The following is a 14,621-nucleotide window of genomic DNA, read 5'->3' on the forward strand; positions in this document are numbered from 1 at the left end:
CACCTCACCCAGCTAACTTTTTTTTGTGTTTTTAGTAGAGACAGCGTTTCACTGTATTGGCCAGGCTAGTCTCGAATTCCTGACCTCATGATCCGCCCGCTTCAGCCTTCCAAAGTGCTAGGGTTACAAGTGTGAGCCCCCGCACCCGGCCTAATTTTTGTATTTTTAGTAGAGATGGGGTTTCATCATGTTGGCCAGGCTGGTCTTGAACTCCTGGCCTCAAGTGGTCCGCCTGCCTCGGGCTCCCAAAATGCTGGGATTACAGGTGTGAACCACTGGGCCTGACTGACCCAGTCCTTTTTTTAAAAAAATTACTTACTTTTCCCAGGGTCATACTCTCAGCTAGGCTGGAGTGCAGTGGCACAATCACCGCTCACCGCAGCCTCCACCTCCCACACTCAAGTGATCCTCCCGCCTCAGCCTCCCGAGGAGCTGGGATTACAGGTGCGTGTCACCACACCTGGCTAATTTTGTATTTGTTTTGTTTTGTGTTTCTTTGAGATGGAGTTTCGCTCTGTCGCCCAGGCTGGAGTGCAGTGGTGTGATCTCGGCTCACTGCAAGCTCCACCTCCTGAGTTCAAGCGATTCTCCTGCCTCAGCCTCCTGACTGGCTGGGATTACAGGTGCGTGTCACCCGGCTAATTTTTTAGTAGAGGCAGTTTCACCATGTTGGTCAGGCTGGTCCCGAACTCCTGACCTTGTGATCCACTCCCCCCTTGGCTGCCCAAAGTGCTGGGATCACAAGCGTGAGTTACCGTGCCCTGTCTGTATTTATAGTAGAGACAGAGTTTCACCATGTTGGCCAGGCTGGTCTCGAACTACTGACCTCAAGTGATCCGCCCACCTCGGCCTCCCAAAGTGCTGGGATTACAGGCCTGAGCCACCACGCCCGGCCCGTCGACTAATTTTTTTTTTTTGAAACAGTCTCGCTCTGTCACCCAGGCTGGAGTGCAGTTGCACTGTGTCCAGAATTGGTGGGTTCTTGGTCTCACTGACTTCAAGAATGAAGCCACGGACCCTCGCGGTGAGTGTTACAGCTCTTAAGTCGGCGCGTCTTCAGTTCGTTCCTTCTGATGTTCGGATATGTTCGGAGTTTCTTCCTTCTGGTGGGTTCGTGGTCTCGCTGGCTCAGGAGTGAAGCTGCAGACCTTGGCGGCGAGTGTTACAGCTCTTAAGGCAGCGCGTCTGGATTTTTTGTTCCTCCCGGTGGGCTCGTGGTCTCGCTGGTTTCAGGAGTGAAGCTGCAGACCTTGGCGGTGAGTGTTACAGCTCATAAAAGCAGTGTGAACCCAAAAAGTGAGCAGTAGCAAGATTTATTGCAAAGAGCGAAAGAACAAAGCCTCCACTGTGTGGAAGGGGACCTGACCGGGTTGCCACTGCTAGCACCGGCAGCCTGCTTTTATTCTCTTATCTGGCCCCACCCACATCCTGCTGATGGGTAGAGCCTAGTGGTCTGTTTTGACAGGGCGCTGATTGGTGCATTTACAATCCCTGAGCTAGACACAAAGGTTCTCCACGTCCCCACCAGATTAGTTAGATACAGAGTATCCACACAAAGGTTCTCCAAGGCCCCACCAGAGTAGCTAGATACAGAGTCCACTGGCACATTCACAAACCCTGAGCTAGACACAGGGCGCTGATTGGTGTATTTACAAACCTTGAGCTAGATACAGAGTGCCGATTGGTGTATTTACAATCCCTGAGCTAGACATAAATGTTCTCCAAGGTCTCACCAGAGTAGCTAGATACAGAGTGTCCACTGGCGCATTCACAAACCCTGAGCTAGACACAGGGTGCTGATTGGTGTATTTACAAACCTTGAGCTAGATACAGAGTGCCGATTGGTGTATTTACAATCCCTGAGCTAGACATAAAGGTTCTCCAAGGCCCCACCAGAGTAGCTAGATACAGAGTGTCTGTCTATTGGTGCATTCACAGACTCTGAGCTAGACACAGGGTGCTGATTGGTGTATTTACAATCCCTGAGCTAGACATAAAGGTTCTCCACGTCTCCACCACTCAGGAGCCCAGCTGGCTTCACCCAGTGGATCCCGCACTGGGGCTGCAAGTGGAGCTGCCTGCCAGTCCTGCGCTGTGCACCCGCACTCCTCAGCCCTTGGGTGGTCATGGGACTAGGCACGGTGGAGCAGGGGGCAGCGCTCATCGGGGAGGCTTGGGCCGCACAGGAGCCCACGGAGGGGGTGGGAGGCTCAGGCATGGTGGGCTGCAGGTCCCCAGCTCTGCCCCGCCGGAAGGCAGCTAAGGCCTGGCGAGTAATCGAGTGCAGCGCCAGTGGGCTGGCACTGCTGGGGGACCCACTACACCCTCCGCAGCCGCTGGCCCGGGTGCTAAGCCCCTCATTGCTCCGGGCCGGCAGGGCCGGCCGGCTGCTCCAAGTGCGGGGCCCACCAAGCCCACGCCCACTCGGAACTCCAGCTGGCCCGCAAGAGCCGCGCGCAGCCCCGGTTCCCGCTCATGCCTCTCCCTCCACACCTCCCTGCAAGCTGAGGGAGCCGGCTCCCGCCTTGGCCAGCCCAGAAAGGGGCTCCCACAGTGCAGCGGTGGGCTGAAGGGCTCCTCAAGTGCCACCAAAGTGGGAGCCCAGGCAGAGGAGGCGTGAAGACCGAGAGAGGGCTGTGAGGACTGCCAGCACGCTGTCACCTCTCAGCACCATCTCAGCTCACTGCAACCTCCGCCTCCTGGGTTCAAGCGATTCTCCTGCCTCAGCCTCCCAAGTAGCTAGGACTACAGGCGCCTGCCACCACACCGGCCAATTTTTGTATTTTTAGTAGAGACGGGGTTTCACCATGTTGGCCAGGCTGGTCTCGAACTCCTGACCTCCCGTGATCCACCTGCCTCAGCCTCCCAAAGTGCTGGGATTACAGGCGTGAGCCACTGCGCCCGGCCCATCCAGCTAATTTTTAATTTTTTTGAGAGATGGGGTCTTGCTATTTTGCCCAGGCTAGTCTCGAACACCCGGTGTCAAGAGATCTTGCTGCCTCCGCCTCCCAGAGTGCTGGGATGACAGGCGTGAGTCACCACGCCCAGCCTAGACACAGTTCTGAAGGGACAAAGGGGGCCTCCGCTCCCTCCTTTCAATCTTCAGCTAGGCCAGGCTCCCACTTGGGTCCTCCAGCCCTCAGTTTCCCCCTGCACCCAGCCAGGCCAAGCTGCAGAGGCGCCCGGCCCAGAGCTGGGAAGGGGCGTGGCGGGACCCGCGCTTGCAGCCGCGGGACGGAAGGGGGCGCGAACCTCCCCGCGGCGGGGCCTGGGGGGGCGGGGCCGGGAGGGGCGGGGCCGCGCCCCGTGCTGGCCAATCAGCGCCCGCCCCGGCACCGGGACCCGCCTCCGCGCCGCAGCTCCCGGGGGGTCCGGCCCGGCCGAGCCTCGGTGTCCGGCCCCGCGGGGGAGGGGCGCGGCCTGCGGAGCGGGATCGGGGCCGGGTCTGGGGCCCCTCCCGGCGGCCTTCGAGCCCTGCCGCCCGGCTCCGCGCCGCCCGGAGCCCCTCGGCAGTCCCGTCACGTCTCCTCCAGATTAGGCATTAACTCGGGTGCAGCCGCACTTCCGGGGGGCCGCGGCGGGGGAGGGGCGCCTGCGGGATCCAGACCCGCCCCCCACTCTCCTCTCCCCGCCCCCTCCCGGGCCGCCCCTTTCCCGCCCCACGGCCGCGCCGGGCGCTGCGTCCCGGGGCTTTGTTCGCGGCGGCGCGGGTCGCCGGCCTCCGGGCGGGCCGGGGGAGGGAGGAGGGAGGGGGCGGGAGGGGGAAGGAAGGAGGAGGGGGAGGAGGAGGGCGCGGGGAGGGGGTAGGGGGGCGGGGAGGAGAGAGGGGGAGGGGCGCCGCCCTGGCCCCGCCCCCCCCCGCCCGCCCGCCCGCGCTCCGCCGCCTCCGGAGCTGCGTCCCGTCCTGTCCAGTCCCGTCCCCGGCGCGGCCCGCGCGCTCCTCCGCCGCCTCTCGCCTGCGCCATGGCCGGCCGGTCCCACCCGGGCCCGCTGCGGCCGCTGCTGCCGCTCCTTGTGGTGGCCGCGTGCGTCCTGCCCGGAGCCGGCGGGACATGCCCGGAGCGCGCGCTGGAGCGGCGCGAGGAGGAGGCGAACGTGGTGCTCACCGGGACGGTGGAGGAGATCCTCAACGTGGACCCGGTGCAGCACACGTACTCCTGCAAGGTGCGCCCACCCGGACCCCGGCCTCCCCTCGCGACGCCTGCCGCCCCGCCGGGACCCCCGCCCCAGGCCGTGGGAACCAGCCCCGGTCGCTCCGCAGCCCCCGCTCCGGCTCCCTTGGCGACCGCCAAGCCCCGGGAGGGGGGGTCGCCGGGTCCCGGGAAACTCGCGGGCGCCGGGGAAAGTTGCTGCGCCGCCGCCGTCCTCCGCCCGCCGCCGCCTCCCTCCTCGCGGAGACAAGTGCACCTCGCCCACGGACTGCGGCTGCCGCGCGCCCTCCCTACCGGCCGAGAAGGAGAGGGGCCTGGGGAGGGGGGGCCTTTGCCCGGGCGGGGAGCGGGGGCTGGGCCTGGGATCCGCTTGTTCCCCTCCCCAGAGGCCTTTCCCGGGGCGAGAGGGGTTGGTCAGGAGAGAAAAAGGGGCGCACAGCCTGAGCTCCCAACCCCGGGAGCCAGGTGGGGGGTGCCGCAGTGGTGCGGGGGGGGGGCGTGCAGGAGCAGAGAGGTGGGCGGGGCCGTCACCGGGCCTCGTGTGCTTGGGGGCAGGGCCGGTGCCCCATCGCGCTCCTGCGGGAACCGGGGCTCCCCACCCCGGGGAGGGGAAGTTTCCCTGGTTTCTCCTTCAGGTGCTTCTGGGAGCCCCCGGGGTAGGTACGCTGGGACCCCCACCATCTTCTCCTAGTAGGGGCTCGGGGGACCCAGAGCCGGCGCCCGTGTACCCCCAAAACCATCTCCTGGGACCAGAAATCCACTCATTTCCCTCCACGGAGGTGGAGAAGGTGGCAGCTTCTTTCAGACTGGCCGGTGCGGGCTACAGCTGGGCTCCCCCGCCGGCCCAGTCTCCTCCACAGCGGCCAGGGCACTTTGCCAGGCCCCTGCAGGATTTTCCCGACTTCCTCCCCGCTGCTCCTGGGTGTGGCTGGGGTGGGGGAAGGCGATGAAAGCCACCAGGCCCTCCCCCTGCCTGGGTCATCTGCCTCCTGGAGCCTACTGTTGGGGGGCGTGGAAGAGGCTCTGCCTGCGCAACTGGAGGGGGTCCCTGCGGATGCCGCAGTCCTGAGGCTCCCAGCAGGGGCTGCGCAGTGGACAGGCCAACCATTGTCTCTCCCCCCATCCGGCAGCCCCAGCCCCCCAGATCTGAGGAAGGGGCTGCTTCTCCCGGCTTTGTTCTCAGGGGAGTGCGTGAGTGCGTGGGTCCCTGTCCCCGTGAGGGCCGCCAGGTCGGCTGTAGCCTTTACCACAGGCCACCGTCAGAGCAGCTGCCCTCAGGGCCCCAGGAGCTGAGAAGGTGGAGGGTGGGGCACCCTGCACTGCCCAAACTTGATTTCGTGGTTCACAGGCTGCCCTGAGTGCACAGACTGTAGAAGCCCGAGGAAGGGGCGTCTCAGCCCAGCCACAGGGCCAAGCTGGCCCCTTACCCCAACGCCCCATCCCCCTCCTCCACTGCCCAAGCTTGCTGGGAGGTGGGCCCTGAGCACTGGGCAGGTGGGGAGAAGTGTGGAAGGCAGGCACCCCAAGCCAGGTGGGCCCCCTTCCCAAATTCGGCCTTAGCTGATAGGGACGTTATTGGAGCTGGGGTGGCTGAAGTTGGTTAGACCTGGGGGAGGGGATGTGTTCACAGGTGACGCATCTCTGAGCGTTCCCGCATGGGCTGTGGTGGCCAGTGTGGGCTTCCCCCAGCTTCCGCCCAGCGGGCTGACTCAGAGGTCTCCCCACATCTCTGCCCAGGGCTTGAGTCTACTGTGGACATTTGCCCTAAACACCTAAAGCCCCCAGTCTAGCCCCTTCCCCAGGAGAGGACTAATGACACCTACCGCCATGTCCACCCCAGGTTCGGGTCTGGCGGTACTTGAAGGGCAAAGACCTGGTGGCCCGGGAGAGCCTGCTGGACGGCGGCAACAAGGTGGTGATCAGCGGCTTTGGAGACCCCCTCATCTGTGACAACCAGGTGTCCACTGGGGACACCAGGATCTTCTTTGTGAACCCTGCACCCCCATACCTGTGGCCAGCCCACAAGAACGAGCTGATGCTCAACTCCAGCCTCATGCGGATCACCCTGCGGAACCTGGAGGAGGTGGAGTTCTGTGTGGAAGGTGCGTGGTGGGGGGCTCGTGTGGGGGCCTGTGGGGGTCAGGGCAGTGGCCAAGGGGGACAGGTTGCAGGGGTCGCTGTGCGGGGTCCTTTCGTGCTGTGCCGGAGGCTGCAGCACACGGTGTCTTGTGGTCCAACCTCATTCTCTGCTTCTCCGTCCCTGGCTCCCCAGCTGCATCTCCAAGCCCTCACATTAGACATCTTTGGCCCTGGGGCCCAAGGCAAGTCCCAGCCCTGCAAACAGATGGCCTCCTGCCTCCTCCCCTCCTCCCAGCTCTCCATACTTCCTTCTGGAGGCCCCTTCTAGGGAGAAGCTGGACAGGTGAATGTCCCCAGCTGTTCAAGCCCCTGTGTTAGCCCAGACCTCCGTCTAGACGGGCCCGCGTGTCGAGCACTCCTCGCCGTGGAGATCGGGCGGGAGGGCGAGGCTGTGCGGCGAGGGCTTCTGCGGATGTGGAGGGTGTGGCATTTGCCATCGTGAGGTCTTGCTTGCTGTTCCCATGGCTCTGCCGAAGGGCCGAGGAGTGGCCCTCCCTGACCCCAGCCTGGTGGGGGCAGAAATCCCATGGCAGCCCCCGCAGGACAAGTCCCAGTTGGGGACTGAGATCGTTGGCTGGGGAATGTGGCAGGGAAAATATAGGAGGTCCCTGTCGCCCCCACATCCTGTCTGCTCCCTCATGGCTGCCTGGGAAGGGATGTGTCGGTGGGGGGGTCTGGAGAGTGCTTCCTCCTCAAGGCAACGGTAAGGGTCCTGACTTCCCGTCTCTCCGATCTGCTCCGTTGGCCGGCAGGAAACTTTGCTGCCCTGACACTAGCCTGGCTCTTGAGGGGTCCTTGTGGGGTCCTGGACTGTCCACTGCTCTTGCCTTCTCTGTGCATGCCTGGGGGCTATGCAGGGGGAGGGGCAGCACCCAAAATAAGGAACGCTGCGGCCTTTTCCCCAGCCTGTGGTCAGTGGTCCCCAAGCTGCCTTCAGGGTCCAGGGCCTCAGTGCAGCACAGAGGAGGGTCCCCTGGGTCCCCCACTGGGAGGACATGATAACCTTGGTCCTCTTCTGGGCACTCATGGTCTGGGGAAAAGATGGGGGCATCGTGGACTCAGGATAGGCTGTCAGGAGCTGAGGAGGGGCTGGAGAAGGGGGTTAGGGCGAGGAGAGGTTCCTGTCCCTGCAAGATCAGGAGAGGGGGTCACTAACCCCACAGCCAGGTGGGTCCAGCCCGAGAGTCCGTGACTTAGTAGCTGAGGACTTGCTCTAGGGTCAGAGGGCACATGGCAGGAGAGTCACCCCGGCTGAACGAGGCTCTGCATCTTACCGAAGCCGCTCTACGGGTGCCAGGCACTGGCTCTGGAGCGAGTGCCCAGGCGGAGCAGAGCGCTGGGAGGAGGGTCCGTGGGGAGCCCCTGCCAGGTGGGTGTGGCTTAGCCCAGCTGTGGGCAGTCGCACTCAGGGACGAGCTCCAGGTGGGGAGCCTGGGACCCACAGCCAGTATGCAGCTTGGGGAGCACCCGGGAGGGGCTGTGGCCACCGGACCCCCTGGGGTGGGGCTGGCCAGGGGAGGGTTAGCCAGGGAGGACTGTCATGGGAGGGGCCTTGCAGGTGAGCCAGGGGCCAAGGGGAGCCTCAGGAGGGAAACAGCATGAGGAGTGGGGGAGCCCAGGAGCTTCCGGTGGGACATGTGGAGCTCTGCTGTGGAAGTAGACCAGGGATATCTCGGGTGGCTGGGGTCCCTGGCTGCCGGGACAGGGTAAATGCCTCCCAGAAGCCTGGGGTGAGCCCTGAGGGACAAGGTCTCTGGAGCCAGTCTGGCTGGAGAAGGGACAATTCTGTGTGCCCACCCCTCCCCTCACACTGGGTGGTGTGGGAGGTGGGTCCATCTCCTGCTCTGTAGGAGATAAGGACATTGAACCCCACCCTGGGCCCTCTGGTAGCCAAGGCCTCACCCTAGTGAGGGGGATGGATGGAGGGAGCTTGAGCCTAGCTGACCTCTCCCCATCTGACTCCGACCCCACCTCCCAGGGCACAGGATGGCGTCTGGGCAGCCCCTAGTCTTCAGAAGCTACCCCTGAGACCACAGGGTCCCACCTTGTATGGGAACCCCATCCTGGAGACAAAGGCCCCTCCGAGCTCCCCAGGTCGGGGAGGGCCACGCCCCTCACCACCCCTGCCCGGACACCGCCTGAGGTGCACCTGCTGCTGGGCCACACCTGGACTCAGCTCTACTGAGGACTTCCTTTCCTCAGTTTCTCACCTGGCCCTGCCAGATCTTCCTGGCCCTGCCCAGCCAAGGCCCCTCCCCCAGTCAACAACCCTCAGAAAGGCTCCTCCCCCCTTCTCTGCCTAGGGAGCCACATTCCTGGCATAACTAAGACAGGTATGTGTCCCTCCCTCTGCGCCACCTTTGGGCGGGGGAGGCCCGCTGCTCCCTCCGGAAGGAGACCCCCGCCCCTGCTTTGTCAGGGAAGTGGCCTGGCCTCCGCAGTGCCAGCTGCCCAGGGCTGGCGGCTGAGCGGGCGACTCCTCCGGCCCTCGCCACCCTGTCCTGTCTGGGCACTGCCCATGCCCTCCCAGCCCACCTCACAAAGGCTGGTCCTAGAGCCTCCCTGAAGCCCCCAGGAGGGACTCCTGGCTGAGGGCCGGCCAGGCCGCCCGGGGCCCATCCCTCCCTGCTAGGAGCCAGGAGCAGAGAAAGGGAGTGTTGTCTGCCCCTGCCGGGGCCTGGCACAGGGACAGGGCAGGGGGCCAGGGTCAGAGTGAGTCTGGCGCCTTCCCAGCCCGGCCCTGCCCAGCTCTGAAGCCCGGGGTCCCGGCGGCCTAGTCCCGGGCCCGCCTGTATTCCGGCGTGTGCACCCTCCCTTCCTCCCTGCCTGGCCAGCTGCCTAGGCCTCAGGACGGCAGTCCTAGGGGAAGCCCAGAGTCCCACGGCACCGGGGACAGCATCGGTGCTGGGGTTGAGGGGCCCGACAGCCCCAGACCAGGCTCCCCTCAGTGTGGGGCAGTCTAGGAGTTGGGGGAGGTTTCTGGGATGCAGGAGGACCTCCCATAGGGCTGGGGCCAGCCCCCTCTCCTGCCCAGGGCTCAGCTCCTGCCCCCAACTCCTCCGCATTCCTGCCACCCTCTCCTGCCCCCTCCTGACTCCAGGTTCTCATCCTGCCCCCTGGTTCCCCCACCCCCACCCCATGAGCCCCTCTCTGGCCCTCCCCCAGGCAGGTCTGGGCTCGAGGCTGCTGCCCCAATCTCCCTCCTGCAGCTGGGAGGGGGTCTGCCGGGTGGGAGGGCGGAGGGCCTACCTCTGTCCCTCCCCACTCACCTCTGTGTCTCCCCACCCAGGGGCTCCTGGTAGGAAGTTGGGGCCCCACCTCTGTTTCTCCTGGAGCTGGGAGGGGGGTCTGCCGGGTGAAGGGCCCACCTCTGTCCATCCCAACCCCGGGGCTCCTGGTGGGAAGTCGGGGCTCGGTGCTTCCCGCCTGCGTGAATGGACTTGTCCCGTCTTTGACTTCTCCTGGGCTTGCCCCTGCCTTGGCCTGGGGGGGGGCTTTGCTGGCTGAAACCAAAGGGAGTGAGGTGGTGGGAGGGGTAGGGGAATCGGGTTGGTCAGTTCTGTGGAGATGACCTCTTTGAGAGGGCCGGGCTGAGCTGGTGGAAGGAACTCTTGGCTTTTTCCAGACCCCACCCCACTCCCTCACTCCCCACCCAGAGAACAGCCCTGGCTCCATTGTTCCTGCAGACTAGAGAGGGAAGGTTGTTTTGGAACTGGGCTCGCTCCCGCTTGTCCACACTGGCCGCTCTGGTGGGGCCTCTGTGGGTGGTGGTGGGGATGGCACCTGCTGCAGCCTCCAGGCCAAGGTAGGGGAGAAGGAGGTTAGGGTGAGGACAGGTTCCTGTCCCTGCAAGATCAGGAGAGGGAATCATTAGCCCCACAGCCTGCAGAAGGCGGGATGGGGCTGCTCCAGGGAAGGGGGTGCCCGTGCCTCGGGGCCACAGGTCCGGCCAGAGGTCATTCCAGCCAGGCCCATGCAGCTTCCTTCCTGAAGGGCTGACTCTGCCCCCATCACTGCAGGAGGGTGGAAAACAACTGCAGAAGCAGACGCCCCACGCCCAGGGCTTTGCTTCCACCTGTGGGACCCAGGTCCACAGCCCCACCAGCGGCCTGGGTGGGGCAGGAACGGACCCCCTCCCTGCAGTCCTGGTTCTGGCACCCCCTCCCCACTTGGACTGGGCTCCCCAGGGCCCCCGAAGCCCAGCGGGGCTGGGGCTGCAGACGGAAACACCGTGGTGGCCTGCCCACCTCAGGATGGAACCCCGGGGTCCCAGGAGGTGCCTGCCCCTCAGAGATGAGAAAAAGGAAGTGCAGGGCTGAGATATCACCCCATGGACAGTCGCCCGCTGGAGGAGGAGGCTCTGTACCCCTGCACCTCCTGCCTGCTGGGTGAGCTGCTGGGAGCTGCACTGGGGCTCAGAGCAGTCCTGTGCGCCCCTCAGGCTGTGGCAAGATTGTGGCTGGGATCTAGGGAATGAGGCAGGTCTCTAGCGGAGCCTGCAGCACTGAGGGAAGCCCCCCCGAAGGGGCCTCTCCCCCCAGCACAGATCCTGGGAACTTCCTCTGAGGAAGGCCCCCTGCCAGGGGCAGCTCACAGCAGGACCTGGGAAAGGGAGACGGCCCCTCCCAGCCCCCTCCTCCTGCAGTCCCCCCACGGAGCAGAGGCGTGGGAGAAGGGGCGTGCTGTGTCCTACAGGCAGCCGGCTGTTTCCAGCTGTGTGGCCTGCGTGTGTGCATGTGTTTGTGTGTGTGTGTACACGCATGTGTGTGCACGTGCCTGCAGCCTCAGATGTACCAGCCTGTGCACTTCAGAATTCTGCCTGGAGCCTCCACTAGTGGGCCATGGTTCTTACCACCCTATGTCCCTGGGTTCAGCCCGGGCTGGTGCTGCAGGTGTGAGGCTGGTGGTGGGTGACCCTGGCCTGTCCAGGGGGCCTCGGAGCTGGGCTCTTCCTCTGTCCTCGTGCACGTGTCTCGCCTCAGCTTGCTGTTGGTTGTCCACTCTCCTGCCCCCTGCTCACTGCGTCCAGCACGCTGCCCCGTGTCTGGCAAAGGGCCCAGGACCTTCTGCAGGTGCTGCCTCTGAGATGACCAGTGTGGTTTCTGAAGGTTTGAGATGAAGGCATGCTGGGTCCCTTGGGGCGGCAGTGAGGACAGGAGAGGGTCCTGGGTCACAGTCCCTCACATGCCTGCGGGACCTCGAGACTGACACAGATGCCCACCCCTGCCCAGATGGGACTCTGTCTGGGGGCAGCAGGGCAGTCTGGGAGTCAGACCAGGCCTGGTCAGGGTGGGAGCGGGGGTCTGTCGCTGGCCTGAGCCTCCCTGCCCCGCCGTTTGGCAGCCACCTTGGCCACCCTCACACTGGGCCCTAGGAGAAGCAAGCCCCTGCGTGTCCGCAGGTGGGAGGCTCCCACGCACCCCCCGCTGGAGAAGCACAAGCACAAACACCGGCCCACGGCCGCCCCGGCCCACAGCAGCTGGTGGGGAGGGGCTGTGCCCCCTTCTCTCCCCAGGGGAGGCTGGGGTGTGAGCAGGGCTCACCATGACCTTCACTGATTTCATCATCAGTGCCTTCCCCATTCACACACTCACGGTTGGCACCTCCACGGGGCTTCCCAGGGAAGCCGGGAAGGAGCTGTGCATTGAGGGGTGAAAGCCCGTGCAGAGAACCGTGGGAGAAAGAGGCTGTGGACACGGGGCGGAAGAGAGGGCTGGGGCGCAGTCGTCAGCTGCCGTGACCCCACAGCTGGGAGCAAGCTGATTCCTGCCTCGGAGCTGCCGTCTCCCCTGCTGGCCGTTCTCTCTCCCGTGGGGAAACGCCCCCCCCCCCCCCCCGCCCTGCACCTGGCTGGCGGCACCTGTGGGCACTGACCACTCCACGCCAGCTGTTTTCCTTGGTTGGGGTTGGGGGCACCGAGCGTTTGGGTGGACCGGAAGTCAGCGTCTGCATTCGAGCCTGTGTGCGGTGCATGGGCCAAGGGCGCCCACACCCACGCCACCCTTTCCGAAGGAACCGAGCCCCAGCCCCTCATGGGCCAAGGGCACCCACAGCCACGCCACCCTTTCCGAAGGAACCGAGCCCCAGCCCCTCGTGGGCCAAGGGCGCCCACAGCCACGCCACCCTCTCCCAAGGAACCGAGCCCCAGCCCCTCGTGGGCCAAGGGCGCCCACAGCCACGCCACCCTCTCCCAAGGAACCGAGCCCCAGCCCCTCGTGGGCCAAGGGCGCCCACACCCACGCCACCCTCTCCGAAGGAACCGAGCCCCAGCCCCTCGTGGGCCAAGGGCGCCCACACCCACGCCACCCTTTCCGAAGGAACCGAGCCCCAGCCCCTCGTGGGCCAAGGGCGCCCACAGCCACGCCACCCTTTCCGAAGGAACCGAGCCCCAGCCCCTCGTGGGCCAAGGGCGCCCACACCCACGCCACCCTTTCCGAAGGAACCGAGCCCCAGCCCCTCGTGGGCCAAGGGCGCCCACAGCCACGCCACCCTCTCCCAAGGAACCGAGCCCCAGCCCCTCGTGGGCCAAGGGCGCCCACACCCACGCCACCCTCTCCCAAGGAACCGAGCCCCAGCCCCTCGTGGGCCAAGGGCGCCCACAGCCACGCCACCCTTTCCGAAGGAACCGAGCCCCAGCCCCTCTGGGGCCTGCCAATTGCCAGAGAGCCCCAGTGCTCCACCCACTCCAGGCCCCAACCCCCACCTTCTGAGGGCAGGATAAGTACCTGCGGGTGCCCAACCAGAGTGTGCCTGTGTCCACACGGGAACATATGGGTGGGAGGTGAGGAGAACGTGCCTTCCCAGTGTATGGGTGGGGGTTGAGGGACAAAATTAATGTTGCACAAAGATATGGGGGATGCCCAATATCTATGCAGGCAGGTGGGGGGATCAGTGTCTATGCAGGCAGGTGGGGGGGACATCAGTGTCTATGCAGGCAGGTAGGGGGAGGGGGACATCCCGTGTCTATGAGGGCAGGTGGAGGGAGAGAATTGAGGCTGGGGCTGGGGTCAGCAGTGGGGCTGAATGGGGCAGAGTGGGGGTCAAGGAGCAGGGGTGGTGCTGGGCAGGCCAGGAATACCCATTGTGTGGCCGTGTGTGTGTGTGCAGTGCATGGTGCTGTGAGATCAGCATGTGTGTGTGTGTGTGCAGTGCATGGTGCTGTGAGATCAGCATGTGTGTGTGTGTGTGCAGTGCATGGTGCTGTGAGATCATGTGTGTGTGCAGTGCATGGTGCTGTGAGATCAGCGTGTGTGTGTGCAGTGCATGGTGCTGTGAGTGTGAGATCGTGTGTGTGTATGCAGTGCATGGTGCTGTGTGAGATCAGCGTGTGTGTGTGTGCAGTGCATGGTGCTGTGAGATCAGCATGTGTGTGTGCAGTGCATGGTGCTGTGAGATCAGTGTGTGTGTGTGTGCAGTGCATGGTGCTGTGTGAGATCAGCATGTGTGTGTGTGTGCAGCGCATGGTGCTGTGTGAGATCAGCATGTGTGTGTGTGTGTGCAGTGCATGGTGCTGTGAGATCAGCATGTGTGTGTGCAGTGCATGGTGCTGTGTGAGATCAGCATGTGTGTGTGTGTGCAGTGCCTGGTGCTGTGAGATCAGCATGTGTGTGTGTGTGTGCAGTGCATGGTGCTGTGAGATCAGCATGTGTGTGTGTGTGTGTGCAGTGCATGGTGCTGTGAGATCAGCATGTGTGTGTGCAGTGCATGGTGCTGTGAGATCAGCGCGTGTGTGTGTGCAGTGCATGGTGCTGTGAGATCAGCGTGTGTGTGTGTGCAGTGCATGGTGCTGTGTGAGATCAGCATGTGTGTGTGTGCAGTGCATGGTGCTGTGAGATCAGCGTGTGTGTGTGCAGCGCATGGTGCTGTGTGAGATCAGCATGTGTGTGTGTGTGTGCAGTGCATGGTGCTGTGAGATCAGCGTGTGTGTGTGTGCAGTGCATGGTGCTGTGTGAGATCAGCATGTGTGTGTGTGCAGTGCATGGTGCTGTGAGATCAGCGTGTGTGTGCAGCGCATGGTGCTGTGTGAGATCAGCGTGTGTGTGTGCAGCGCATGGTGCTGAGAGATCAGCATGTGTGTGTGCAGTGCATGGTGCTGTGAGATCAGCGTGTGTGTGTGTGCAGTGCATGGTGCTGAGTGTGAGATCAGCATGTGTGTGTGTGCAGTGCATGGTGCTGTGAGATCAGTGTGTGTGTGTGCAGTGCATGGTGCTGTGTGAGATCAGCATGTGTGTGTGTGTGTGTGCAGCGCATGGTGCTGTGAGATCAGCATGTGTGTGTGTGTGTGTGTGCAGTGCATGGTGCTGTGAGATCAGCATGTGTGTGTGCAGTGCA

General features: G+C 64.0%; 1 protein-coding gene across 5 annotated transcripts in view, besides 5 other annotated features; it reads left to right on the forward strand.

Moving 5' to 3' along the window:
* Positions 3,225–3,674: a silencer, noted in NCBI's record as "silent region_18". NCBI's record gives its function as "represses an Ori minimal core promoter by ATAC-STARR-seq in GM12878 lymphoblastoid cells {active_cell/tissue: GM12878}" and the evidence as "EXISTENCE:reporter gene assay evidence [ECO:0000049][PMID:35858748]".
* AGRN (agrin) overlaps positions 3,911–14,621 on the forward strand; it is a 35,997-nt gene continuing 25,286 nt past the window's right edge. For all 5 annotated transcript variants that reach the window (NM_001305275.2, XM_005244749.4, XM_011541429.3 and 2 more), the window contains exons 1-2: positions 3,911–4,164; positions 5,992–6,253. In NM_001305275.2, the coding sequence (NP_001292204.1) occupies positions 3,964–4,164; positions 5,992–6,253 (463 nt within the window). In that variant the 5' untranslated portion in view covers positions 3,911–3,963. The remainder of the gene's footprint in view (positions 4,165–5,991; positions 6,254–14,621) is intronic.
* Positions 5,183–6,382: an enhancer, noted in NCBI's record as "P300/CBP strongly-dependent group 1 enhancer chr1:956772-957971 (GRCh37/hg19 assembly coordinates)". NCBI's record gives its function as "activates an origin of replication core promoter dependent on BRD2, BRD4, P300/CBP, MED14 and CDK7 cofactors, with strong dependence on P300/CBP, by STARR-seq in HCT116 cells {active_cell/tissue: HCT116}" and the evidence as "EXISTENCE:reporter gene assay evidence [ECO:0000049][PMID:35650434]".
* Positions 7,567–8,543: an enhancer, noted in NCBI's record as "H3K27ac-H3K4me1 hESC enhancer chr1:959156-960132 (GRCh37/hg19 assembly coordinates)". NCBI's record gives its function as "activates a minimal SCP1, AML or CMV promoter by ChIP-STARR-seq in naive and primed H9 embryonic stem cells {active_cell/tissue: H9 hESC(naive and primed)}" and the evidence as "EXISTENCE:reporter gene assay evidence [ECO:0000049][PMID:30033119]".
* Positions 8,544–9,519: an enhancer, noted in NCBI's record as "H3K27ac-H3K4me1 hESC enhancer chr1:960133-961108 (GRCh37/hg19 assembly coordinates)". NCBI's record gives its function as "activates a minimal SCP1, AML or CMV promoter by ChIP-STARR-seq in naive and primed H9 embryonic stem cells {active_cell/tissue: H9 hESC(naive and primed)}" and the evidence as "EXISTENCE:reporter gene assay evidence [ECO:0000049][PMID:30033119]".
* Positions 13,646–14,515: an enhancer, noted in NCBI's record as "H3K4me1 hESC enhancer chr1:965235-966104 (GRCh37/hg19 assembly coordinates)". NCBI's record gives its function as "activates a minimal SCP1, AML or CMV promoter by ChIP-STARR-seq in naive H9 embryonic stem cells {active_cell/tissue: H9 hESC(naive)}" and the evidence as "EXISTENCE:reporter gene assay evidence [ECO:0000049][PMID:30033119]".

Source organism: Homo sapiens, chromosome 1 (assembly GCF_000001405.40).
Source record: "Homo sapiens chromosome 1, GRCh38.p14 Primary Assembly".
In the NCBI taxonomy this organism is placed as follows: Eukaryota; Metazoa; Chordata; class Mammalia; order Primates; family Hominidae; genus Homo; species Homo sapiens.